The sequence below is a fragment of the Homo sapiens genome, chromosome 1, assembly GCF_000001405.40.
Source record: "Homo sapiens chromosome 1, GRCh38.p14 Primary Assembly".
NCBI lineage: Eukaryota > Metazoa > Chordata > Mammalia > Primates > Hominidae > Homo > Homo sapiens.
Genome location: NC_000001.11, coordinates 216,248,212 through 216,275,050, shown reverse-complemented (window position 1 = coordinate 216,275,050; position 26,839 = coordinate 216,248,212). Strand labels below are relative to the sequence as shown.

At 34.6% G+C, this 26,839-nt stretch overlaps 1 protein-coding gene across 2 annotated transcripts in view, besides 1 other annotated feature; it reads left to right on the top strand.

The window, feature by feature from the left end:
- USH2A (usherin) overlaps positions 1-26,839 on the top strand; it is an 800,558-nt gene that overhangs the window by 148,398 nt on the left and 625,321 nt on the right. For both annotated transcript variants that reach the window (NM_206933.4, NM_007123.6), the window contains exon 12: positions 23,953-24,148. In NM_206933.4, the coding sequence (NP_996816.3) occupies positions 23,953-24,148 (196 nt within the window). The remainder of the gene's footprint in view (positions 1-23,952; positions 24,149-26,839) is intronic.
- Positions 25,467-25,636: an enhancer, noted in NCBI's record as "experimental_4209 CRE fragment used in MPRA reporter constructs". NCBI's record gives its function as "activates a minimal promoter by MPRAs in K562 erythroleukemia cells, with activity observed for the non-introgressed 1:216422842 variant allele {active_cell/tissue: K562}" and the evidence as "EXISTENCE:reporter gene assay evidence [ECO:0000049][PMID:34662402]".

Below are 26,839 nucleotides of genomic sequence, written 5' to 3'. Positions count from 1 at the left end.
TAACCATTGCTGGGAACAGCAGTATGTGGGGAACCTCTTTACACTCTTTCTGTCTTGAACACTCAAAAGATTGAGAAAAAAATATTCCTTTCCTACTATAGTTTTATTTGAGCATGCTTCAGAATTTTACCTTTTTGCACACTCCTTAGAGATTATCGTGGGGAAGTTTAGAAAGCAGTTTCTTGGAAATGCCTTTTGGAGGGGAAGAGGAGCTATAAAAATATACCAGCCTGACAAATGACAGGCATTGTAGACTGGAAAAGAAAAGACATCTTGGTTTTACACCAATGTAGAAGCTTTTCTTTGCAAATGAGTATTTTTGACAGCTGAGCAAGATGATAAACAGAAGTATCACAAAACACTTAAATGGAAACAAGTATTATGATGTACTTTATTCACCTGGCATTCTCCAATTCATGACATTTATATGTGGCAGAACCCACTGCAGATTCATTTATTTATTTTTGAAGTGGAATGAGTTCCTTACGAAGGTAGCCTGTTACATTAATGTGGACTTTTCTTCTCTAGATGCAGAAGCTTAAGGAAAAAAGTTATTGTATCTGTACTATAAATAAGTGGTAAGTCTCAGAATCCACATCTTAGGGCTGAGAAGGCTCCTAGCAAGTACAATATACTGTATAAATATAGACAAATAAATATAGATATAGATTTTTTGTGTAAGCACCGGCAGTGTTGCAAATGATTAGATATTTCATAAATGCCTTTTCTAAAAAGGTATTGCTGAAACCAGTCTATTTCTAGAACTTATATTCAGATGTTTAGAGGTATAAATGCTTCAATATTGGCTAAGCTTAGAAAGGCTATGTTTCTCTGAGGCTCAGTGATAGACATACCAACAATTTGATGAGATGCATGACTAAGAAGAAAAAGAGAGTAAGACTGAGTCCCTGTGAATTGATTGACTTGGTGCAGTGGCAGAGTAGGTAGCAAGTATTAAAGCAATAGTTCTTAAATGTTAGTGTTCATAAGAATCATCAACAGAACTTTTTAAAAATGAAGATTCCTAGGTTTTAACTTTAGCGACTTTTAATTCTTTAGGTCTGGTATATTTGGTTGTGGGAAATCAAAAGACTCAACTTCGGAATACACTGAACAGTTGCTGACTATAGATTTGTATATTCAAAATTTTTTGGTATTTAAAAATGGTATGTATGGTTTATTGAGTCAAATATTTTAAAAACTATGAATGTGTGCTGGTTTGTTTTTTTTTTTTTTTCTGGATTGGAGGACAATTTGGGGTAAGCATTCTCTATTTAACAAGTCATAATTAACTCCCTGCCAAAACTAAGTAGAAATTGTGATTTCTATAACTCCTATATTTGATAATATCTCCTAAAAATATTTCAGTGATATAGCATTTAATTGCAAATAATTCATCTAGTCACCAAACAAATGTAGGGACGTTCCTATATACCAGGCACTGTGCATATCAAGGTGTATATTACAGTGAATAACAGAAACACTCACGAAGTGTTCAATTGAATTTAACCTTGAAATGTATTATTTATTATTATTATGTTTAAATAAACTATGTGAGGTTTTTTTTTCATTGCCAATGAGAAACCCACCCTAACTTCAGAATTTTTATCTTTAAGTATATCCTATTTTAACCACCCTTACCCATCCACTCTCAATGATTTCTCCTCAGTGTGGGGCCTTGCCGTGGAAGTGTGCCCTGGTCAGTGAGTTTTGAGAGTCCGTGGAAGCTAGATTGCCCTCGGCTCTTCAGTTCCCACTGCAGAACTCTTGCAGTCACTGGCTATTGGATCAGCAGAACCTCTTCTATTTTCAGTCGCCCATTTTCAAATTGGCTCACTGAACTTTAGGTTCTCCAGTTTTCAGGTCTTTCAAAAGTCCGACACCCCTTTACTATCATCTGCTTTCTCCTACACAGGGGCTAATGCCATGCAGGTTTTGTGACTGCTGGTGGTGTGTTCCTACCTGCTTTTTTTGGGAGGCTTCTGGGCACAGCTGGTCACCTAGTTTCATTATAATCATTTTTAATGGCTTTGCTGTTGTTGTGTTGCTGTTTAGTTCTGTCAGCTTTTATCCTGGGATTTAGAGAGACCCAAGAGTTCTGTGGCCACATAACCATTGATCCTGATTCCCCTGGAGTCTCTTTTGACTTTTACTGCCTAATTTAAGCTGAACATATGAAATACATGAAAAAACTGAAAGCTCAAGCTCGTTTGTTGTTTGTCTTCCTAGGTTATGGTTTCCATTTCTCCCTCTTTCTCAACCTATTTTGCCAATCAATGTCTATCCTTCCTTCACTTTTTGCCTACTCACTACAATATTCAATTACACAAACATAATTTTTCCTCTGCCCACCCCAGCACCAGCATTTTTCTGGGAGTTTAAGTCTCTTATGAATCTGGGAAGAAAGGAACTAAAAATGAGCAGGGATGAATAGCAAAATGAGTGAGTCAACGAGTAGCAGGCAGGACATTAGAGTGAAGCTGTTTTCTTACCCAGAAGACTGATGATGGGAAAGGAAAAAAGAACAATTCAAAATTAGTAGAAGAAAAGAAATAATTAATAAAACATGAGTGGATATTAATCAAATAGAAATTGGACAAAAAATAGTGAAAATGAACAAACGCAATAGTTTGTCCTTTGAAAAGGTTAATAAAGTTGATGAGCAGAAAACACAAAGTACCAACATCAAAAACACAAATTACCAACATCAGAAATTTAAAAAAGAGACATCAATGTCGTTGCACATTTTATAAACATTAAAAAATTACAGTTTTATGAACAGCTCTGCTAATAAATCTGATGTCCTGAATGAAATGAACAAATGAACACAAAACCAACAACAAAAAATAGAAATAGCCTCACATATATTAAAGACATTTAATTCATATCTAAAAACCTTTCAACAAGGAAAATCTCAGTCCCAAATGGCTTCACTAATGAATTTGCCACTAACATAAAGGAATAAATAATATTAGTCCTACACAAACTCTTTCAGAAAACCAAGGAAGGGCATATATTTCTCAGCTCATTTTGTGAGGGCTACCTAACTTTAATCCCATAACCTAACAAAGCACTAAAAGAAAAGCCCATTAGAATATTCCATATGAACATAGATGTAAAATACCTTAACAGCATATTAGCAAATGGAATCCTGCAATATATAATAGGGTAATGCATCATAGCTGATTGGATTTCTCCCAGGAATGCAAAGTTAGTTTAACATCTGAAAATCAGTTAATGTAGTAAGCCACATAAATAGAATACAAAAGAATTCCCAGGTAATCATCTCAATAGATCAAAAAACTTTGAAAAAGAATTCAAAACACTTTCATGATAAATACCCTCTGCCTACTAGGAATACAAGAGAACTTCCTCAAACTGAAAAGGGCATCTGCAAAAACCCTATAGCTAATATTATGTTAACAATAAATGTTAAATTTTTTACCACTACATCAGGAACAAAGCAAGGAGGTTTGCTCTTATAACTTCTACTAAAAATTGTAACAGAAGTCTAAAGTAGGACAAAATGAAAAAACAAAAAGCCATGAATATCAAGAAAGAAGTAAGACTATTATTATTTGCAGAAAATATGCCACTGTATAGACAGTGGGAGTATAAAAATTGCTTGGCAAGCATCAAGTCCCCCACATACAATCCCCTCCTCACACTACTCTCCTTCGTAAAGCCATGAAAAACCGCTTTATATTCTAAGTAAGGACGGGATGTTTGATGTGCAAATGCAGCTGTAAGATAAATCCCTGAGCAACATTTTTGGCCACCCTGCCCTTCCTATAGAAAGTCTGGGGCTGTCACTGAGGTAGGGTTAGTAATGGTATGTGAGACTGGAGAGATATGTGGAAACCACCTCATGGTATTTGGTCTTCACTAGTTAGGCAATAGGGAGCTATTGAATATTTCTGAGCACAGGAGTGACACAGAGGTGTACCAAGTAGGTAAGAGGCAGTGGAAACAATCTACCTCAGTGGGGAAGAGTATTGTATCACAAAATTTGTTTAGAATTGCTAGTACTTGGTGATAATTAAAAGCAAAACAATTTTAACTGAATCTTATTATTTTAATTTTACTTACAGAAAGTGCATCCTCTTTTGTGTACCCAGGTGTTTCATTCTCACCACCTTACCGTAGGATTATTATCATCAGAATTAAAGTAGATGAGGCAAGGCACAGTGGCTCATGCCTGTAATCCTAGCACTTTGGGAGGCTGAGGCGAGAGGACTGCTTAAGGCCAAGAGTTTGAGTTTATGGTAAGCTATGTTCGTGCCACTGCACTCCAGCCTAGGCAGCAGAGTGAGACCCTGTCTCTTAAAAAAAAAAAAAAATTGGAATGAATGAAAATTAATTGATAGCAGTTTATTAAATGGATTAGGGAGAGGAACAGACTGGTAGATATCATTCAGTATACAATAGCTGGTTAGTGATGGCAATTCTGAAAGAAGAAGTGGTAGAAACTGGGAGGTGTTGCTAGTGTAGTATGACCTTTCAAAACTCACAGAGTGCATAGCTTGTGGATGTATAGAACAATGTGAAAGAATAAATTCTCCAGAAAGGAAGAAGAGGAGTTAGAGATTTTATAAAAGAGAAGTCTATGATGTTCTCTAGGAAAGAAAAGAATTTTCTGAAGAATATATGCATTGATTAAATGATTTCCTTTTGCCCTCATTTATATTTATTTTCTGTTCAAATGAAACACTTAAACTAACACTCAATTTCCGGGACAGATTTCCTGTTCTTACATTCTTCAATTTGCTTTTTAAATTTTTACTTTGTTTAGCAATATCAACATTGCCTCATTGGCTTTTAGTGAGTTTCTTGAGAAGATGTAATCTATAGAACATTAGTTCTTCTCTCCCACCAGACAGATGAGTGCATAGAAAGACATATAGTTATACTGCTGCTGTTTTAAAAGTGTTGCTTCAAATTACCTAAAATATAGTGACTATTAGATAATCACTGATAAAAACTGTGTTCATCTAATTTATTCATCTTGAAATCATGCTTCATATTTCCTTTAAGCACAAAATAGTTATGTTCACACATGCACAATAAATCATATATGGATTACTTGATGCCTTGAATTCACCCTCATAGAATTTTATCTCCTAATGTAAAGAAAACTGACTGGGGTAATTATTGCAGGATCTTACTCTTTTCTGTTGTCAGTAACCTTCCCACCAAACTCATTGTGACAATTGTCACCCGGTTGACTGTGCATATCCACCATTGCTCCAGAGCCTAGGCCAGCAGACTTTTGCTGCATGGTCCAAAATGGTGAGGTCCTGGGTGTGATCACAAGGCAATATGCAGCAAACATTAGTGACCATCAGTGCTAACAAAGAAACTTACAAAGTAACAACTTGACCACTTGGCCAATTCTTCCACTGTGTTTTCAGCTCTTCACAGGTGTAGGCCATGCCTTAAACTTAATTGAGTCTAGCACTCTTCCTGTTACTATTATTATATTTGTAGCTTATGATAAGCAGAGTGAATTTAACATAGGGGTTATGATCATGCATTTGAGAGTTGGGCCACTTAGTAACTGTATTAGTCCGTTTTCACACTGCTGATAAAGACATACCTGAGACTGGGTAATTTATACAGGAAAAATTTATACAGGACTTACAGTTCCACATGGCTGGGGAGGCCTCACGATCATGGCAGAAGGCAAAGAGGAGTAAGTCACATCTTGTATGGGTGGCAGCAAGCAAAGAGAGAGCTTGTGCAGGGGAACTCTTGTTTTTAAAACCATCAGATCTCGTGAGATTTATTCACTATCATGAGAACAGCACAAGAAAGACCTGCTCCCATGATTCAATTATTTCCCACTGGGTCTCCCCCCACAACACATAGGAATTCAAGATGAGATTTGGGTGAGGACACAGCCAAACCCTATTGGTAACTGCACCACCTTTAATAAGTAATTTGATCTTTCTAAGGTTTAAATTCTTCTTCTGTCAAATGAAGATTCATGTATTTTCACAAATAATAAAATGACGAAAATTCCTGCCACTATGGAGCTTACATTGTAAAGTGATTTGGGGAGTTGGAAGAGAAAGAACAATCAATAAATATAAAAATAAGTAAGTTTATTTACTAAGTTAAATGCTATAGGAGAAAACTAGACAAAGTAAAATGCCTTGAGAGTACCATATTAAGGAAAGGAATTGCAGTTTTGGAAATGTAGCCAAGAGACTTTTAATTGAAAAGATGGCATTTCACTTGAGACCTGAAGGAGATGAAGGAGTTAGTCATGTGGAAATCTGGAAGAAGAGACCTAGGCAGAGGCAGCAGCCTATGCAAACACCATAAGGTGGAAGCACCCCTGATGTATTCAGAAAAGGGGCTGTATAGCTGAAGTGAGCAGAAGAAAGAGTAGGAATGTCCCAAGCCTACGGGATCCTTGTGCAAGCTGCAAATAATTGGTCCTTTCACTTTGCAAGTACTGCCCCACATCCATCAAATACTTTAGAAGGTTTGAAAAAAGTTTGACTATCAATCACTTGATGAATTTTCCTGCCCACTATTTGCTCTATACCAGTGTGAAATGTACAGAGTAATACTTCCACTTCATCTTTACCGAGCACTTACTATGTTCCAGAGATGATGCTAAACATGTTTACATTAATAATCTCAGTTAATCCTGACAACAGACCTATGAGGTAGATATTATTATGCTCATTTTATTGATAAATACGTGAAGACTTCAGTAGATTTAAGTTGTTCAGAGTATAGTTAATTCTGTGGCTAGTAATTGTGGCACATAATCCTAATGTTCCAGGAATTTATATCATTTAGTTGAGGAGACACTCCTCAACTCCTGTCTCAGGTGACAGGAGTAAGTGAAATTCTAAGGCACAATATAGCATGGTGCATAAGCAGGCAGGACTGCAGCCACAGAACCCTCAATTTTAATTCAGGCTAAGTCACTTACTTTCCCTTTTATGTTAGAGACGTCTGTTAGTTTTTCTACAGGAAGTATAATACCTCACAGGGTAATTTATTCACAAATACGAAAACATGTATAAAACATCATAGCAGTCTGCCTGCAATATCGTAAGTGTTCAAAAGGGTTGTGGATATTATTATTGTTGTTGTAAGCTAAGGAACGCTAGAAAAACATCAAAGATTCAATTACTCAAAATAACTTTTGCTGAGCATCTACTACATGTAAAATATGTATACTGTGGGATCAATGGATGATGTAAAGGTGCAAAAGGTTCTGGCCCTTGGGGAGTGTATGGTACACTGGGAAGTTATATTTTCAGACAAGACATAATAATTCTAATACAAGCTAGACCTTAAGGAATTGAATGACAGAGGTAACAAGAAAATGCTGTAAAATGGCTGAGGAGAGAAAAATCCTCTAATTTGGGAGGAGCTCAGTATTGACAAAGGCTAGAAATGGGTAGAGAACACTTTCCCAAAAGAGATGTCGTGGTGCCTGGTGAGACAGGCTGTGAACTTGACTTCTCCCATCCGTTCCATTATTAATGTGTGTCTCTGTGCTCTAGCATTCATTTCATCTTGTGGACATGCTATTGTTTCCATTTAAAAACTCTCTTGATCACAATTTCTTCTGTGGCGATGGTCTCATGTCCTGCTCTCCTTTTTGGCAAAACTCCTTAAAAGACTTGTCTAGGCTCATGCCTCCAAATCCTATTCTGCTATTATTTCCTGGAAATATATCTGTCAGGCCTTCACTCTCATCATTACTTTGCAACTTTTCTTGTTAAGGTCTCCAAGGACCTCTGTCTTTTTAAACAAAGCTAAATTCTGTCTTCATTGTATTTGACATACAAGCAGGATTTGACACAGTTGATCACTCTCTTTTCATTTAGAGGACTCCACATTCTCCGGGTTTTCCTCCCATATCCCTGACTATTTCTTCTGTATCCTTTTTCTGTGCCCTCCTCTTACCTTTGAACACTTATTGTTGGAGTGCTCTGGAACTCTCTTTAGAGGACTTTCCTGTATCTACGCTCACGCCCTTGGTGATATTTTACTTCAAATACCAATTATACACAGACAATACTCAAATGAATTTCACAATCATATTTCCAATTAAACACTTAACATGTTTTATATATATATATAAAATATTATTTGAATTTAATTATCTTTATCTTCACATCAATACATAATAATCTATCAGCAAATCATGTTGGTTCTATTTTCAAAAATATCCATAGTCTTTCATTCTTCCTAGATTCAATAATTCCTTTGCTTGTCTATTTAGTTTTCTATATGTCATTAATCTTCCTCATGCTGACGTCTTTGCTACATGAATATATACATATATATGGTACACATACATATATATTTTATGCACACACACATACATATTTATGCTCAAGGACCTCCTGCCCTGCTATCAGCCTAGAGCTTTTCATATACCTCTACATCCTCATTTCCTGAATCCCATGCCTTCCATTCTTGTTGCTGTTGTCTGTTTACTTTCTTTTTGCTGGAACTATATTACTCAATAGCTTCCTGATATAGGAAGTTAAAGTTTTGAATCCTTGCAAATCCAGAAAATGTTTGTATTCTTTCTTTACAGGCAACCGATAATATAACTTAGCATAGAATTCTGGATTAGAAATAACTTTACTCATAATTTGGAAGGTACCATTCTTAGCTTTTTAGTTTACTATAATGTTGCAGAATACTGCAGTGATATTCTGTATTTTCTATGTGACTTATTTTATTGGTCTCTGGAAATTTTTGTTTCCTTTTTATTTTTGGAATTTGAATGCTTCATGAGATTGCACCTTGATCTGGGTTTTTCCACCAGCATGTGGTGAGCCTTTTTTTTAACTTTTTAATATTTTATTTTTAATCAATCAACACATAATATTTATACCTATTATGGGATACAGAGAGATATTTCAATACATATGTAAAATGTGTGAGTATCAAATCAGTGTAATTAGCAAATCCATTACCACCAACCTGTATCATTTCTTTGTGTTGGGAACATTCAAAATCCTTTCTTCTAGCTATTTGAAAACATATAATAAATTGTTGTTAACTATAGTCACCATACAGTACTATAAAACACAGGAATTTATTCTTCTTACCTATCTGTGATTTTGTATCTGTTAACCAGCCTCTCCCTATCCCCTTCTCCCTGCTATCCTTCCAAGACTCCAGTAACCACTATTCGACCTTCTACTTTCATGAGATCAACTGGTTTAGCTTCCACATATGAGTCAGAACAGGTAATATTTATCTTTCTGTGCCAGGCTTATTTCACTTAACATAATGTCTTCCGGGCTAAACATAATGCCCTCTAGGCTAATCCATGTTGCTTCAAAAGACAGAGTTTTATTCCTTTTCATGGCTGAATAGTATTTCATTATATATTTATATATGTGATATATGATATATATATATATATCAAATTTTCTTTATCTATTCCTTTGCTAATGAGCACTTAGGTTGATTCTATATCTTAGCTATTGTAAATAGTACTGCAATAAACATGGGAGTGCAGATATCTCTTCAACGTACTGATTTCAAAACGTCTGGATATATGTACCCAGTAGTGGGATTGCTGAATCATATGGTAGTTCTCTTTTTAGTTTTTTTAAGTGACCTTCATACTTTTTTCCATAATGGTATGCTAATTTACATTCCTACCAACAGTGTATAAGAATTCCCTTTTCTCTGCATCCTTGTAAGCATTTGTTATTTTTTGTCATTTTTATAACATATTTTAACTGGGAAAAGATAATATTGTGGCTTTTGTTTGCATTTGTCTGATGATTAGCAATGTTGAGCATTTTTTCGTGTACTTGTTGGCTATTTGTATGTCTTCTTTTGAGAAATGTCTGTCCAGACCATTTGCACCTGTTTTAATTGGATTATTTGGGGCCATTGAGTTGATTTTCTTATATATTCTAGGTATTAAACATTTCTTGGATGAATACCTTGCAAGTATTTTTCCATTCTGTAGGTCGTCTCTCCACTTTGTTGGTAGTTTCTTTTGCTGCGAAAGGGCATTTTAGTTTGATGTAATTCCATTTGCCCAGACCAATGTCCTGAAGCACGTCTCCTAGGTTTACTTCTAGTATTTTCATAGTTTTGGGTCTTACGTTGAAGAGTTTAGTCCATTTTGAGTGGATTTTTGTATATGGTGAGAGACGGGGGTCTATTTTCATTCATTTGCACATGGATAGCCAGTTTCCCCAGCACCATTTATTGAAGAGGATGTCCTTTTCCCACTCTTTGTTTTTGGTGACTTTGTTGAAAACCCGTTGGCAGTAAATAGGTGGATTTATTTCTGGGTTCTCTATTCTGTTCCATTGGTTTCTGTGTCTGTTTTACGACAGTATCATGCTGTATAGCTTTGTAGTAAATTTTGCAGTTAAGTAGTATGATATCCTCAGTCTTGCTCTTTTTGAACAGGTGACTTTGTCTCAAGATTGATTTGTCTAGCTCAGTGGGGTGGCTCACGCCTGTAATCCCAGCACTTTGGGAGGCTGAGTTGGACAGATCACTTGAAGTCAGGAGTTCGAGACCAGCCTGACCAACATGGCGAAAGACTGTCTCTACTAAAAATTCAAAAATTAGCAGAGCATGGTGGCGGGCACCTGTAATCTCAGCTACTCAGGAGGCTGAGGCAGGAGAACTACTTGAACCCAGGAGGTGGAGGTTGCAGTGAGCCAAGACTGTGCCATTGCACTCCAGCCTGGGTGACAGAGAGAGACCCCACCTCAAAAAAAAAAAAATTGCTTTGTCTATTCTGGGTCTTTATGGTTCCATGGGAATTTAAAGAATTTTTTCTTCTATTTCTGTGAAGAATATCATTAGTATTTTGATAGGAATCATATTGAATCTGTAGATTGCTTTTGATAATACAGTCATTTTTATAATATTAGTTCCTCTAATCCATGATCATGGGATGCCTTTCCATTTTCTTATGTGTCCTCTTTAATTTCTATTATAAGTTTTATAGTTTTCCTTGTACAGAACTTTTACCCTTTGGTTACATTTATTCCTCAGTATTTTTGTTTTTTTAGCTATCGTAAGTGAGATTTCATTTTTACCTAGTTTGTGCTTGTTGTATAGGAATGCTACTAATTTTTATATATTGATTTGATATCCTGCAACTTTATTCGTTTAGTTTATCACTTCTAAGAGTTTTTTGGTGGAGTGCTTAGTTTTTATTACATATAAGATCCTGTCATCTGTAAACCAGAACTAGTTGACTTCCTCCTCTCCAATTTGTATTCCTGTTATTTCTGTCTCTTGCCTAATTGCTCTGGCTAGGAATTTCTAGTTCTAGGTTGAATAAAGAGTAGTGAAAGTGGGCATCACCATCATGTTCCAGTTCCTAGAAGAAAAGTTTTCACCTTTTCTCCGTTTAATAAGATGTTGGTTGTAGGTTTGTCATATATGGCCTTTATTATTGAGGTACATTTCTTCCATACTAATTTGCTGACAGTTTTTAGCATAAAGGGATGTTGAATTTCATCAAATGCTGTTTCTGTCTTTTGAGATGGTCATATGGTTTGTCCTTCATTCTGTTGATATACTTTTATTTATCCCATTTATTCAATTTGCTCATATTGAATCATTCCTACATCCTTGGTATAAATCACACTTGATCCTGGTATGTAATATTTTTGATGTGCTGTTGGATTCGGTCTGCCAGTATTTTATTGATGATCTTTGCAACTATGGTCATCAGGAATATTGGCCTGTAGTTTTTGCTGTTGCATATTTGGTTTTGCTATCAGGGTAATGCTGGCCTTATAAAATTAGTTTAGAAGAATTTCCTCTCCTTCAATTTTTTGGAATAGTTTAAGAAAAAATGGTATTAGTTCTTCTATTAAAGTTTGGTAGATTTCAGCAGTGAAGCCATTGATCCTGGACTTTTCTTTGTTGGGAGACTCTTAATTACTGAATCAATCTCATTACTTGTGAGTGTTCTGTTCAGTGTTCTATTCCTCCTTGGTTCAATTTTGGCCAGTTGTATGTATCCACAAATTTATCCATTTCTTCTAGGTTTTTCAATTTGTTGGCATATAGTTATTCATAATAGTCTCCAATGATCAACTGTATTTTTGTGGTTTCAGTTGTAGTGTCTCCTTTTTCATTTCTGATTTTATTTGAGTCTTTTTTCTTTTTTTCTCAGTCTAGCTAATGGTTTGTCAATATTATCTTTCAAAATATCAACTTTTTGTTTTGTTGAGCTTTTGTATTGTTTTTGGTCTCAATTTTATATCCTTCTTCTCTGATCTTTTTTATTTCTATATTGTGCCTTGCAGAGGACCTTTCTAGTTAAATACATTTGGGAACTTTTGAGCTTCCTGGATCTGGGTATCTATGTCTGTCCCAAGACTTAGGAAGTTTTAAGTTAGTATTTCATTAATAAGTTTTTATTACCCTTTTTGTCATCTTGTCTTTCTAAGCTCCCACAGTATGAATAGCTGTTTGCTTAATGGTGTCCCACAAGTCCTGTAGGCTTTCTTTATTCTTTCTTATTCTGTTTTCTTTTTCTTTCTGTCTGCTTGAGTTATTTCAATAGACCTGTCTTTGAGTTCATAAATCATTTTTTTCTGCTTGATCTAGCCTGTTGTCAAAACTCTTGATTGTATTTTTATTTCATTAACTAAATTGCTCAGCTCCAATATTTCTGTTTGGTTCATTTTTATGATACCAATTTCTTGTTGAATTTCTGATTTAGATCATGAATTCTTTTCCTGATTTTTTTCAGTTGCATATCTGTATTTTCTTCTATCTTGCTGAGTTTCCTTAACATCATTATTTTGAACTCCTTTTCTGGCATTTTGAAAATCTCTTTTACTTTGGGGTCTGTTACTAGAGGATTATTGTGTTCCTTTGGTAGTGTCATGTTTTCTTGCTTTTTCATGTTTCTTGTGTTCCTACATTGATACCTGCACATCTGGTAAAGTAATTGCTTCTTTTAATGTTATGGACTAGCGCTTATAGGGAAAGATTTACTCCTGTAGATAAGTTCTAGAGTGTTAAGTAGAGGGTGATAACTTGGGTCCTGAGTGGGCACAGTAGTGTAGTCTCTGTGAAGTTTCTTCAACTGTAATCCATGTCAGTAATGTTTGTGAATGCTTCACTGACCTAACCTGTGGGAGTTTGTGGCAGCAGTGACATGACTTTACTGGAATCAGGCTTATTGAGTGAGTTATCAGGATGGAGGCATGTTTGTGCATGTGATGGGTCACCTAGCTTAGGAACTGGCTTGCTTTGGGTGAAGCCGTGGGCTGTTTCTCAGGCCGGGGGCATGAGTGTTCAGTGGATCAGCTGGTTCTGGAACTGGTTCACCAGGAGTGAGGCTGTTGGGTCGTTTCTCAGTTTAGGGGCATAGGCACATGTTGGTTTGCCAGCCATTAAGCCTTTTAAAACTATGGTTTCATGTCTGGAAAATGTGTATTTTATACTAATTCTTTATTAACTTATTCCTTTAATTTTTTTTCCTTTTGGTGTATTTCTGAAAATTTGTTTTCATCTCATTATTATTGTTAGCCTTTCTGATGTATTTTCTTATCTTTCTCTTCTAATCTTTTAGTTGAGATTTTTTTCCAGCCTTTTTTTTTTTTTTTGGATATAGAATCTTAGTATATTGTCTAGGCTGGACTCAAACTCCTGGGCTCTAACAATACTTCTACCTAAGCCTCCTGAGTAGCTGGGACTACAAGCACATGCCACTATGCCTGGCTGTATATTTTTAATATTTAAGAATTCTTTCTTTCACCAATTGTTTATTCTTTTAGGCTTTTTTTTGTTTCTATATTTTTTAATGAATGCAACTTTTATCTTCTGGGGATAACAGAGATATTTTATTAAATTGTTATTAGTTGATGATTTCTTCCATCTCTAATTCCCTGCATTGTTTGTTTCCTCATCTGGATTATCATTTTTCATCCTCCTCCTTTATTTTTGTTTCTGTCATTCACATTGTATATTTTGCACATTTGATGAATTTTGCCATCTGCTTTATTCTGTAGAGAAATGGTAAAACATTTCCAAAATGGCCTTTACTCATGTTTATGAGCAGCAATACAGCTTTACTTTGCAGAGGTTAAAAGCTCAAATATTAGTTCTAGAGTTCTTATCTTTGTAGTATTTTTCTGCCAGTTTCCTCTTTATGGAAAATAACTCTGGCTCCCGGCTTTCTTTAAACTGTGTAGAAGGGGAGTTGTGGTGGTAAAGGGGAGAGGCAGTGTATACAGACTTTCACTTAATCCTTTCATGTCTACCTTGTGCCTCTTCCAATAACAAGTTGTTGATGTTCCAATATAATGGAGCTGGTTAATTTCAATTATTCTTGACAATAAGACTGATGTCACTGTGGAGTAGGATTAGTTTGGCTGGCTGAGTGGGGTTGAAAAGGGGACCTGAAAATCTAAATACTTTCTATGTGGAATACCTCTAATTCATGATTCTCAACCTTGGCACTATGGCTATTCTGGGCTGGGTAATTTGTTGTGAGGGATGGATATGTGCATTGCAGGATGTTTAGCAGAATCCCTGGCTACATATCAGTATACTACATGCCAGTAGAACTCCTCCCCTCACTGGGACAACCAGAAAGTTCCTCTGGGGACAAAATCTTCCTTAGCTGAGAACCATTGTTTAACTTTAGACCTGTGTGTGTCCTCTTACTTCTCTCAATGTTTCATTATCTTCAAGTCTTAAGGCTCTCAAAGATTCTATAGGAAAAATCAGTTTTCATGTTTTAGGAATCCAATTCAGCTAGCACTCAAGCTGTAACTTCTCTGATTATTCAAGAATGTTGTCAATATTTATTTCTATTTCTTAATTTCATTTTCTGTCTTCAAAATTTTTGTAAAATGTATTTCTTCCCTATTGATTTCTCTGCTGGCCTCATTAAAATTATGGGTTATATTTTTTAAAATTCCTATTTTTTTAATTGAAGTATCAAGAAAAAGAGGAAAAGGCACATGCTTGATCTGAACTTTATCAAAAATTGGTAATTGTTTTCATCTCTTACTATTAACTCTTTTTTAAATCGATCCTCTTGCTTTAGGAATCCAAATCAGCCTGCACTCGTACTGCAGTTTCTCTGATTAGTCAAGAACGTTGCCAATATTTATTTATATTTCTTCATTTCATTTTTCGTCTTTGAAATTTTTGAAAAATATATTTCTCCATTATTGTTTTCTCTGCTGGTCTCATTAAAATTATGGGTTTTACTTGTTAAAATTGCTGTTATTTTAAAGTAGTGAGAAAAAGAGGAAAATACATGTGCTTAATCTAAATTTTACCAAAAATTTTATATTTTAGTAAATGTATTCAGATGCATATTTTTCTGACAATGGGCAGTCTTAGTTAACACCTGTATCCTTTTTCTTGAGCAAGAAAATAAATTTATTATAATTTTTACTTATTCTGCCCTAGTATTCCTCATGGATAAATCGTGTCTTAATTTTATTAATCTTTGAATGCATCAATTCTAATAAGTTGGATCCTTTGTCAGAAAGCAGAATGTGTACAATATACTTATCCCTTAGTTTTGTCTTCCTGGGAACTGGCTCTTGATCACAATAGGATATATACCTACAGATCAGCTTCATTATAATTTAATTTACTGTATTTGGCAGCAACATCTTCTAGTGGTAACCTAGACCGAGATGAAATATTCCATTTCAATTGACAGTTATAAAGCTACAGACCATAGATTTCAGTTATTTGAGTAGTTACTACATTAAAACACATCTTTTTTTCCCTTCCTTTGCTCCCAACCACATGTGCAGCAACCAGTATGTTTCTAAATTTTGCTCCTGTTTATAATGCTATTTCTTAAGCTTCTAAACATCGCAGTGTGCATTTCACCTCTGCTAATCTCCATCCAAATTCTGCTATGTTTTGGAGTTTGTAAGAAAGTGTAGTGCTGATGAGGGGATTGAAGTTTCAGGATTCCAATTTTGGCTGCTTAACAGGAACAGTTGAAGGATGGCATGAGGTTTTTGATCCATGGTTTTCCATTTCCCTGGTATAGTAAGCATAGGTATCACTGCCAAACTTCTTTGGAGCTCTATGTTATTTGGGTTGAGAGCTTGGAGCTATGTTAAACAGCTGAATAAATGTTTCCCAATGCAGCTCTGTCTATGATGCAGCTCCTGAAAATTCTCTCTGAATGTTGTCAACTAGTTTTCTCTTAAATTGAGTTTATAGTTGTTTTGTCAGGTCCAAATGTCTTTTTGAGACTTTACTTTGACTGAACATTGTGATAGAATTTATCCTCCTGCTTGAAATGATAAAAATATGGACAAAATGTATTAAATAATTGTTTGCTAGATGTTGGACATCAGGCAATGAGGACAATGTTTGCTGAGAAATAGGAAATAAATTATGTGAATCTTACAATTGACCCGGATTACTGCTTACAGAGTATTTCTAGACCACGACTTAGGGAGAGAAATCCCAGATGGAGCTCAGAGAGTTCTCCAAATTGAAGAGATATAGCCAAGTGTTTCAGGAATTCAAAGTAGTTAGAGTTTGCAGAGAGCAGATAGAGGAACACAGAGATAATTTCACAGATCTACAGAGCATCTTCCTTAAGAATTCACTTTACTACGGTTCACTGCATGTATGAGGCTGCAGAAAGCACAACTTTCAATTATTAAAAGTAACAATAATTAACACTCATGTAATGCTGGGTATGTGCCTATTTCCACTAGCTGAACTGGCGAGAAAATTTATGATTCGTGGGATATTTGATAAGAGTACACAAAAGGGTCTAGCCTCAACAGTGGAGAATAGCCCTAGGCTGATAACTACTTCAATACCACCTAATAAATCTTAAGAGCAAGACTCAAAAGGAACTGTTTCCAAGTAATTTAACTGCATCCAAGAACAAAACACAAATATATTTGTAAGAACACTGAAATATGTAGTACCTAACAAGAAAAAATTCACAGTCTCTGGCACCAAATCAAAGATTATCAGGCATGTAAAGAAGCAGGAAAGTACAACTTATAATGAGGATGTAAATGCATCAATCAAAATTGATCCAGAATTGTGAGAAATGTTAGAATTATCAGGCCAGTATGTTGAAACAGATATTACAACTCTACATAGTTTAAAAGCTACATAAAAATATGGAAGGTACTAAATAACCCCACAGATCAAAATTCCAGAGAAAAACCTACACTGTATGGAATGAAAATACACTGGATATAATTGATTATACATTAAACATAAAACATTTATGTTATATATAAAAAATTAGTGAACTTGAAGTCATAGCAATATAACCTATCCAAAATGAAACAGAGTTGAAAGAGCATTTGTAAAAATGAAAACAGCATTTGTGAGCTGTGGGACAACTTTTAGAGGCTTGGTATATGTGTAATTGGAGTCCCTAAAGGAATGGTGGGGTGGAGGTGGGAATATAAAAAATATTCAAATAATTTATGGCTGAAAAATTCCAAGTACAGTACACTGAAAACCATAAAGCCACAAACCCATGAATCTCAAGAAAACTAAAAAATAAGTAACATGAAGGAAATCACAAAAGGCATATTATAATTGAATTGCTCAAAGCTAGTGATAAATTTTTAATGATAAAATAAAATACTACAGCAGCCAGAGGAAAAAGACGTGTTAAATACAAAGGCAAAACAGTAAGAATGACAACAGATTTCCTATCCAAAATAATGCAAAGAAGAAGACAGTGGGGCAACATTCTTATAACTATGAAAGAAAATAAATAGTGCACTTATGATTCTATATCTAGTAAAGATATCTAAGATGAAGGTGAAATAAAAACTATTTGCAATACATATAATGAAAGAGTTCATCACACAGAAACCTATACTATAAGACACATTAAAAAGAAGTCCTTCAGTAGGAAATAAAATGGTATCATATGGAAATATGGATCTGCACAAAGAAACAAAGAGCACCCAAAATGGCAACTGCATTGGTAAATACGGAGGGTATTTTTCTAATGATTTAATTTTCTTTAAATATAGTTGACAGTTTAAAAAATAATAATAATATAGTAAAAGTTTTATAACATGTGTAAGTAAAATGTTTGGCAGTAATAACACAATAATTAAGAGGGGGAAAAGGAAGTACCCTTGACCCTTGAACGACATGGGAGTTAGGGGCACTGATTCCCTGCACAGTCAAAAATTCAAGTTTAATTTTGACTCTCCAAAAGCTTAACTACTAATGGCCTACCATTGACCAAAAACCTTACTGATAACATGAACAGTCAATTAACATTTATTTTGTATATATTATTTACTGTATTCTTACCATAAAGTAATCTAGAGAAAAGAGAATCTTTAGGACAATCATAAGAAAGAGAAAATGTATTTACTATTTGTTAAGTGAAAGTGGATCATAAAGATCTTTGTCCTCTTTATCTTCACTTTGAGTAAGATGAGGAGGAGGAATAAGAGGAAGAGGAGAGATTGGTCTTGTGGCCTCATGGCTGGCAGAGGTGGAAGAAGATTCTTTTATAAGTAGACTCATGCAGTGATAACCCATGTTGTTCAAGGGACAATTGTATACCGTTGTAAGATCCTTATACTCTATTTGAAGTAGTCTGTCACTTAAAGCTAGGCTGTGATAAAGATGTAGGATAAAAACCACTAAAATCATAAAACAAAGAGTTATAACTAATAAACCAACATGGAGATAATTTGAATCATAAAGAAATATAAAATAACACAAAACAGGCAAAAAAAAAAAAAAGGAAAAAAGAAATCCCAAGCAGATGGGACAAATAGGAAATATCAAGATAATAGATTTAAACATAATCATATCAATAATAATGCTAAATTTACATATTCTAAATACTCCACTTAAAATATACAGATTGGAAGATTGGTTAAAAAAGGAAAAAGTACAACTTAACTATATGCTGCTTACAGAAAAGATATTTAAGTATAAGACACAACTAGGTTAAAAGTAAATGTTGGAAAAGATAAATCTTGTGAACACTAATCATAAGAAATCTAGGGTGACTTTATTAATATGAGAAAACATGAATTTTTAGAAATTTTGTCCAAGATAAAATATTGCCCAGGATGAAGAAAGTAATTTCATTTTGCAAAAGGAGTCATTTTGTCAATAGGACATAACAATTCTTAATATTTCTGTACCAACAGCAGAGCTTCAAAATGCACAGAGCAAAAACTAACGTAACTGAAGGAGAAAGTAAAATCCACATTTGTCGGCAAAAATTTCAATACCCTTCTCTCAATAATTAATAGAACAAACTGACAGGAAATAAGTAAATCTATAGATTAGAACAACACTGTCAACCAACTTGACCCAATGGCCAGTTATGGAACATTCAACCCAACAGAGCAGCAAACTACACCTACTTTTCAGGCCTACACAAAACATCTACCAAAATAAATCAAATTCTGAACCATAACACAAGCCTCAATAGATTTAAAAGAATTCAAATCATATAAAGTACATTATGGGGCTGCAGTTAAATTAAATTAGAAATCAATAACAAAATAACCTGGAATTACTCTAAATATTTGGAAACTAACTAACAAAATTCTAAATAATCCAAGATTAGAAGAGGAAACCCAAAGAGGAATTAAGAAGTATTTTGAACTGAATGAAAATGAAAACACAGCATAACAAAATTGTGAGATACCCAATATGGCAGGACTTAGTAGTATATTAATAGCACTAAATGCCTATGCTAGGAAAGGATGAAGATTTCAAAGAAATATCTTCTACTTTACAAAACTAGCAAAAGAAGGGAAGACCCAAGCCAGGCTAATGAAAGCTATTTCTGAGTTTCTAACTGCATCTCATGGGGATGATCATTTCTTTTCTCTGCTCTTGTGGCTGAAAGCATGTTAAGGCCAAAATTGTGATTCAGGCAAGACCCAAATTTATAAGACCAAGATTGCATTTTAAGCCATAAAGAGCAGGAGAATCTCCATGGCTTGAACTGTGAATAGATATTTGTTTGTTATCAGAGATAGTAATTGTACTGCTTTATCTGTATTTCCTTCCATGTTAGTAAAAGAAAGCTCAGAAGTAGTTGATCACATGATCATAGAGAATAAACTACATTTCTCAGTCTCCTTGGCAGCTAGGTGTAGAAATGTGGTTTAAGTTCTGGTCAATGATATTTTATCTATTAACGTTTGCTGTTTAAGTTAGTGGCTAAAAACAATAAAAATTGCGTATTTATTTAGGATTCTATGGTTTGGCTCAGTGCTGGTGTGCACTGGCTTGTCCAACCTCTTCTGGGCTCTCTCATTTGTCTGTGATTAGCTAGCTGGTCAAGCAGCAGTTAGATAGGAAGACCTCACTCTCATATGTGGTGGTTGGCAAGCTGGCTGTTCACTGGGACAGTAGGAGCAATTATTAGCTGGGGCACCTCAGTTCTCTGCCATCCAACCTCTAATATTCCAGCAGGATAGCATGAGCTTGCTCACAAGGTGATCTCAGAGTTCCAAGCCCAGCAAGAAAGAATGAACTCTAAATTTGCAGGCATTTTAAATTGTCTGTTTGAATCATATTTGCAAGCATTATATGTGCTAGTATTTGGCCGAAGAAAACCAATAGGTCAATCTAGAGTTATTGTGGAAGGATCGTACCAAAGAGTGTCTTAGTGTATTTTTAAAGGAAAGGGGAATGCCTTTCTCTCTTTCTACTTCTTGGTGGACAGCAATTGGTTTTAGAGTATGAGTAGATTTGTATTTTCTCACATTAAAAAGGTAGAATCTACAACTGTGGAATCTATAGAAGTAAACTGGGTATTTTCAGTTGAATCTTGGGAAACTGACTAAAGTTAACATTTTTAAAAATAATAATGCTTTATTTTATTTTTAAACTACATTTTAAGATATAGTTAATATACAGAAATTATAATCTATATGTGTTACAGAGAGATTAATGAAATGGGAGTAAACTTGTTATTTTATTAATTTGTGGCAGAGTTCATATAGAAAGAATTGTTTTTATTGACAAAAATATCTCGATAAGACTTAGGTTTTGGCAAGAATCAAGGCAATATTATACACTTTTGAGATGTCTGTGAAAAAGTGACCATGTAAAGTCAGGTGTATAGAAAAAAGTGAATATGCTTTATAGCAGAGCAAGGAGGAAGAAGAGAGAAGCCACAGAAGATGGTAGATAATTGGAGTGCAAGATGGTAGGTAATTGGAGTGCCAATGAAAATCTCTAGCTATAGGGAAACTAAAGGGATATTATGAATTGCAAAGTAATGATTTAATTCCTCTTTTACCCCGAATCTTTAATAAGGTTTAACGACTACAATTTGTTTGTTTGTTTTGAACAAGACTTCTTGAAATTGAGGCATTAGCTGAGTTTCACCTCTGGGTGACATAGGGCAGTGCTGGCAGAAGCCAGAAAGACTTCAAAATGGAAGAAGCAGAAGTGTAGGGTCAGGGCGACTACGAAATGATCAATACGCATAGAATTCTTATAAACTTAAGGAGGACTTCTGTCATTCAGGGATGGAATTAGGGTCATAGGCTGCCTTATCTAGATTTCAAAAGGCAAGGACGCTCCAGATGATACATGCATTACATGTAAATAAGAATACAACAAGGCCAGGTGCAGTGGCTCAGGTCTGTAATCCCAGCAATTTGGGAGGCCGAGGCGGACAGATCACCTGAGGTCAGGAGTTCAGGACCAGCCTGACCAACATGGTGAAACTGTGTCTCTACTAAAAAGATAAAAAATTAGCCGTGCCTGGTGGCCCAGCTACTGGGGAGGCTGAAACAAGAGAGTCACTTGAACCTGGGAGGCGGAGGTTGCAGTGAGCCGAGATCGCACCATTGTACTCCAAATTTGCAGGCATTTTTAAATGTCTGTTTCAATCATTTTTCAAGAGTTAAACTCCATCTCAAAAAAAAAAAAAAGAAAAAATAACAAAACATATAAAAGATAAAGGTTTTGCACTTTTATTTCTCTTTACCTTTTGCACACTTCCTTGCTCTTTGAAAAAGTATTGTTTACATGTAATGTTTAAGATTATTCTTTGACGGAAACATCACATATGTCCAATGCCTTAAGGTGTTTACTATCTCTTTGGAGAACAGGACTGATCCTGTAAAGTACCAGCAAAGACTCAGGCCTGAGTTATGGGTTGATGTACTTGAAGTGTTACAAGTATGTACCCACACGCCTATTGGATTTTCATGGTATGCCTATATGTTACACATATCCACCAATAAATGCCATCTATTTTTGTAGGCTGAATCAAATCTCTGTCTTGAGTAATGATTTTGTATCCTTTGGACTAGATCTGAATAAGACTGAGAAACAGCCAGGCACAAGAAGGCAATTCATTGTTCTCACTCATCTTTCTAAACCTATATGCATCTTTGATATTGAGGTTCATTATTAGCTACAACTACATTTGGTTTGCATATAACCATTTATTTTTCAGTCTTAGATATTTTCATATCAATTGTCTTAATTATCCTTAAATAAAGCTTCCAGTGAGTCTCTATTTCTTGGATGAGGACAATTGAGGCAGTGATAGTTCTTTAAAAATTATTTAATTTCTAAGTCCTTCACTATATCTTGTAACTGAATCCCAACCTAGATATTTTTAAATATCCTTGAAATTAAATATAAATCAAATAATATCTTTCCACATGTAGGTTACTTCCCTCTATGGTAACTCTGCCTCCAAATGTGAAGAGCTGGATTCAATCCAAGTGAAAGAAAATCAGTGGGGAAAATGTCAGGGACTATAAAAGAGATTTGAAGTCTGTACCCACATTGCTGTGTTAGAGTCCTGAGTTATTAAATTTCTCATATTTATTTGACATTTTATATACATATGTCCACTTATGAAGAGTTTAGTTCTTATCTTTCTTTAATCAACACAGTATTAACTATGCATGTAGTAGATGAACACTGTATTTTATGTATTTGCATTCTTTTCAAACCAGATGCTTAAAGAATAAAATGACACAGTGTTTTAGCTGTTATTTTGCTTTAAAATGCTTTAAAACAAGAAACATTTTTGGAATTTCTTATCACAATATAAATCAGCTAAGTATATTTAATGTGGTGAAATGAATCATAAATAGGCTGAAATAGTCCTAAAAGGGGAGTTGGGTAAGAAAAAAATGTATTAGGATCAATATCAATAGGCATAAATAATTCTATTAACAAATAACATTAAACATTGTTACACTGTTTATGGGATGATATCATTATATCATTATAGAAAGATTCTCCCTTAATTTAAATACCTAGCATGTACAAAACAAGTTTAAATCAATGAGACAGTAAACAAGAGGAATAAAATAGAGAGGTGGGCTGGGTGCAGTGATTCACGCCTGTAATCCCAGCACTTTGGGAGGCCGAGGCGGGCGGATCACGAGGTCAAGAGATCAAGACCAATATGGTGAAACCTCGCCTCTGCTAAAATTACAAAAATTAGCTGAGCGTGGTGGCGGGCGCCTGTAGTCCCAGCTACTCGGAAGGCTGAGGCAGGAGAATGGTGTGAACCCAGAAGGCGGAGCTTGCAGTGAGCCGAGATTGAGCCACTGCACTCCAGCCTGGGTGACAGAGCGAGACTCCATCTCAAAAAAAAAAAAAAAAAAAAAAAAAAGGGGAAGTGGTGTCCTAAAGACTAAATTAACTGCTGACTATTTTCTATTTTCAGTCTCTACATATTTATATTTTTATTTCTTTATATAGCATTGAATGGTTAATTCCCCATTTCCCTTTTATTCTTATACGACTAACTTCTATGGGTTTTATTTTCATTCAGTTCTGTATATTCCCCCTGCTGAAGCCTCCCATGTTGTGTGTCAAGAGGAAAAATATCTTATTACCTTCTTGTCTGTTGAACATTTAGTTTTCTTCTCCCTCCCTCCCTGTCTTGTACCTAATGAGCAAATTATCTAAAAATAGATACGTTCATCATTCTACAAAATGTTGTATCTTCTCTAGATTGGAGGACAGTGTAATTGTAAGAGACACGTGTCTGGCAGGCAGTGCAATCAGTGCCAGAATGGATTCTACAATCTACAAGAGTTGGATCCTGATGGCTGCAGTCCCTGTAACTGCAATACCTCTGGGACAGTGGATGGAGATATTACCTGTCACCAAAATTCAGGCCAGTGCAAGTGCAAAGCAAACGTTATTGGTACGTGTAACGCAAAAGTTTACAGTCACATCTCTATTACCATCTGGAATAAAATTCTCTATTTGATTTCTTAACTGAAGAGTAAAGCAAATTTCTTTGCTCAAGACAGGCTGGAAAAAAAAACAATTTGGATGAAATTAACTGTTTAAAATGATTAAATTAATAATTCTATCAAACTGCAGCTTGAAGCTTAGTTTAATCAACCCTTTAGAAGTTTCTTTATTCTGTAGATGCATTAATTCCCATGGTCCCATACTAATAAGTCATAGAAAAATATAATTTGCTTACTGCATAGATGTTTCTTTTAGAAAATTAGCACTTTTTCAAAATGTTTTACACTTAATGAGTTCTAAGCAAATCATTTCCATGCTAGTTTTCTTAATAGACCAAAATAAGTGGATTTTTTCAAAATATTCTGTGCTACAGGGTCCTTTGTGATAAATCTTTCCATTTTTTTCTGTTATATTTCTTTGAACTGTTCCTATGAAATGCAAAATAAGTCAACATAATTCTACAGATCATGTATATTGCTAGGGTTACTTACAAAGGGCTACATAATTTTAATTTTGTAATTCAGCACCAAGTTGATTATAATAAACAGCTGCCTTCGGTGTTATTTATCATTTTTTTATACAAGACGTGCTTTTTTGTTTGTTACTCCCACAGGTATTTTTCGGAAATTAGATTTGATTATAGCAATTTATTACATCCAACATTTTTGAGGGGAACCACCGCCACATAAGGACAAAATTTATCAAGTGCCTAAAATGCACTATGTTCATAATGCACTTTGAAATTTTGATATATGAGAATATTATGAGAGGAAAGTTTCCTGATGAAGTGAGCCCTGTATTGTAACTGAATATGTCTTGGTTCCTATAGGAAGTTTAAAAAAGACCTTTGCCTTTCTATTGTCATTCAAGACACCAAGTCATCCATGGTTTTTCTAACACTGACCTGAACCTTACAATAGTAAAAATATGCCTGGCAGTGATTACACACACTCCTCTCTCTCTCTCTCTCTCACACACACACACGAATGCTTACATGTACACATGCATATGTACATATCATTCTGAATACTATTTTCATTTCTGTGATATACCTCTAAATCTAATTCTTTATCTTTTATTTATGTAAGTGTACATCATGCTACACAATTCAGCTAGACAAGCGTTTCAATTTAATAAAGAGAATGTAGGTGTGTTTAGTGGCATTACACGAGATTTCTCTGGTTTAAAGAAACATTACATGAAAATCTGTACCATAATTTACCTATATGCATCTCAAGCATACAGAAACTAATTTTTTAGAAAGAAAGAATAACGTGTAAAGAGAAGTACATATTTGTATGTGCTATCCATGATGCTGAAGGAATTCTAAGACCCTGAATTCAATTTGTATGGCATCCTTTGTTCTTTAATGTGAGATATATTTTAAACTCAAGATGTGAAAACAAAAGTTAAAGCAAGACCTTTAAAGACAGTGAAATAATTACTTCTTTGTATCAATGGAATCTTTCTTGTGATGGTTAGATTCCAGAGCTTGAGGAAGGGAAAAATCAAAATTAATTTAGAATGTATAATGCCATCCCTACTATTTGCCTGTTTTGTTGATTGATCCAGATGGTTTTCTGCAGGAAACATAAATATATATTTTGTGAAGACTAAATTACTTCAGTATTATAAATAATTATTATTTCTAGTGTTATTTCTGCAAATGTAGTACTTTTTATAAAAACAAAAACTTGATATGCATATATATTTACTTTCCTAATGGGATCAGCAAGTAACTTTATTCAATTTCACCTTGTTAATATGAAAAAAAAAGAAGCCCAGAAAATACAAGTGTATGTTGTATACGCTTCAGAAAGCAAACTGTTAGAGTTAACAAAACTGTTAAATCTTACTAATGATTCTATCACCAGTAAAATACATTAGCACCAATAATTTTATTAAAGTAGGTCATTCATCTAGAATAAAAAGGGAGAAGAATGTGAATTAAATGCCAAGTGTGCTAACTCGCCTGTACTTGTTAACACCGAATGTGATGCCCTGTAGGCCTTCCTGACTATCGTTAGGAATAGATTACCTGTCAGGAATATGTATGGCATATTCAAATAAGCACTGTGCATATTTTTAAAACTGATATGATATGAATCCATGTAGACCAATTTTAATAGTTCAAAATGAGTCATAATTCTTGTTAACAATACAGTTATTTTTAAAATTTGCAGCAATAGTGGTCCTTTTTTATTTTCCTTATTGAAATTAAATGATATGCCTTAGGTGAGTCATTCATCACTGTTAAAGAACTTGCCTTCATTGGAGTTCTTGAATTTTTATCCATATATATACATATATATTATGTATTTCCTTCCAGTTTAGGAAATGCTTTTCTACATATGAGTTCCTGAGTATGTTTTTGACTCTTATTTTAAGATTAATTTTTAAATTGCAATTATAGCTTGAAATAAATGTTTCAGTTGATTCAACCCATGCAGTGAGTTATTTAAATTCATGGATATTTGGAAACTATCTAAAGGAAGTATTTTGCATCTAAACATTTACTATTCTAATTTTTTTATTTCTTTGCCTTGTAATACCCTTTTATCTTTTAGAATAACCTTACTTGTCAGAGATTTAAGTTTAGGTGATAAAACATTTTTCTTCATTCGTAAAATGTATATGT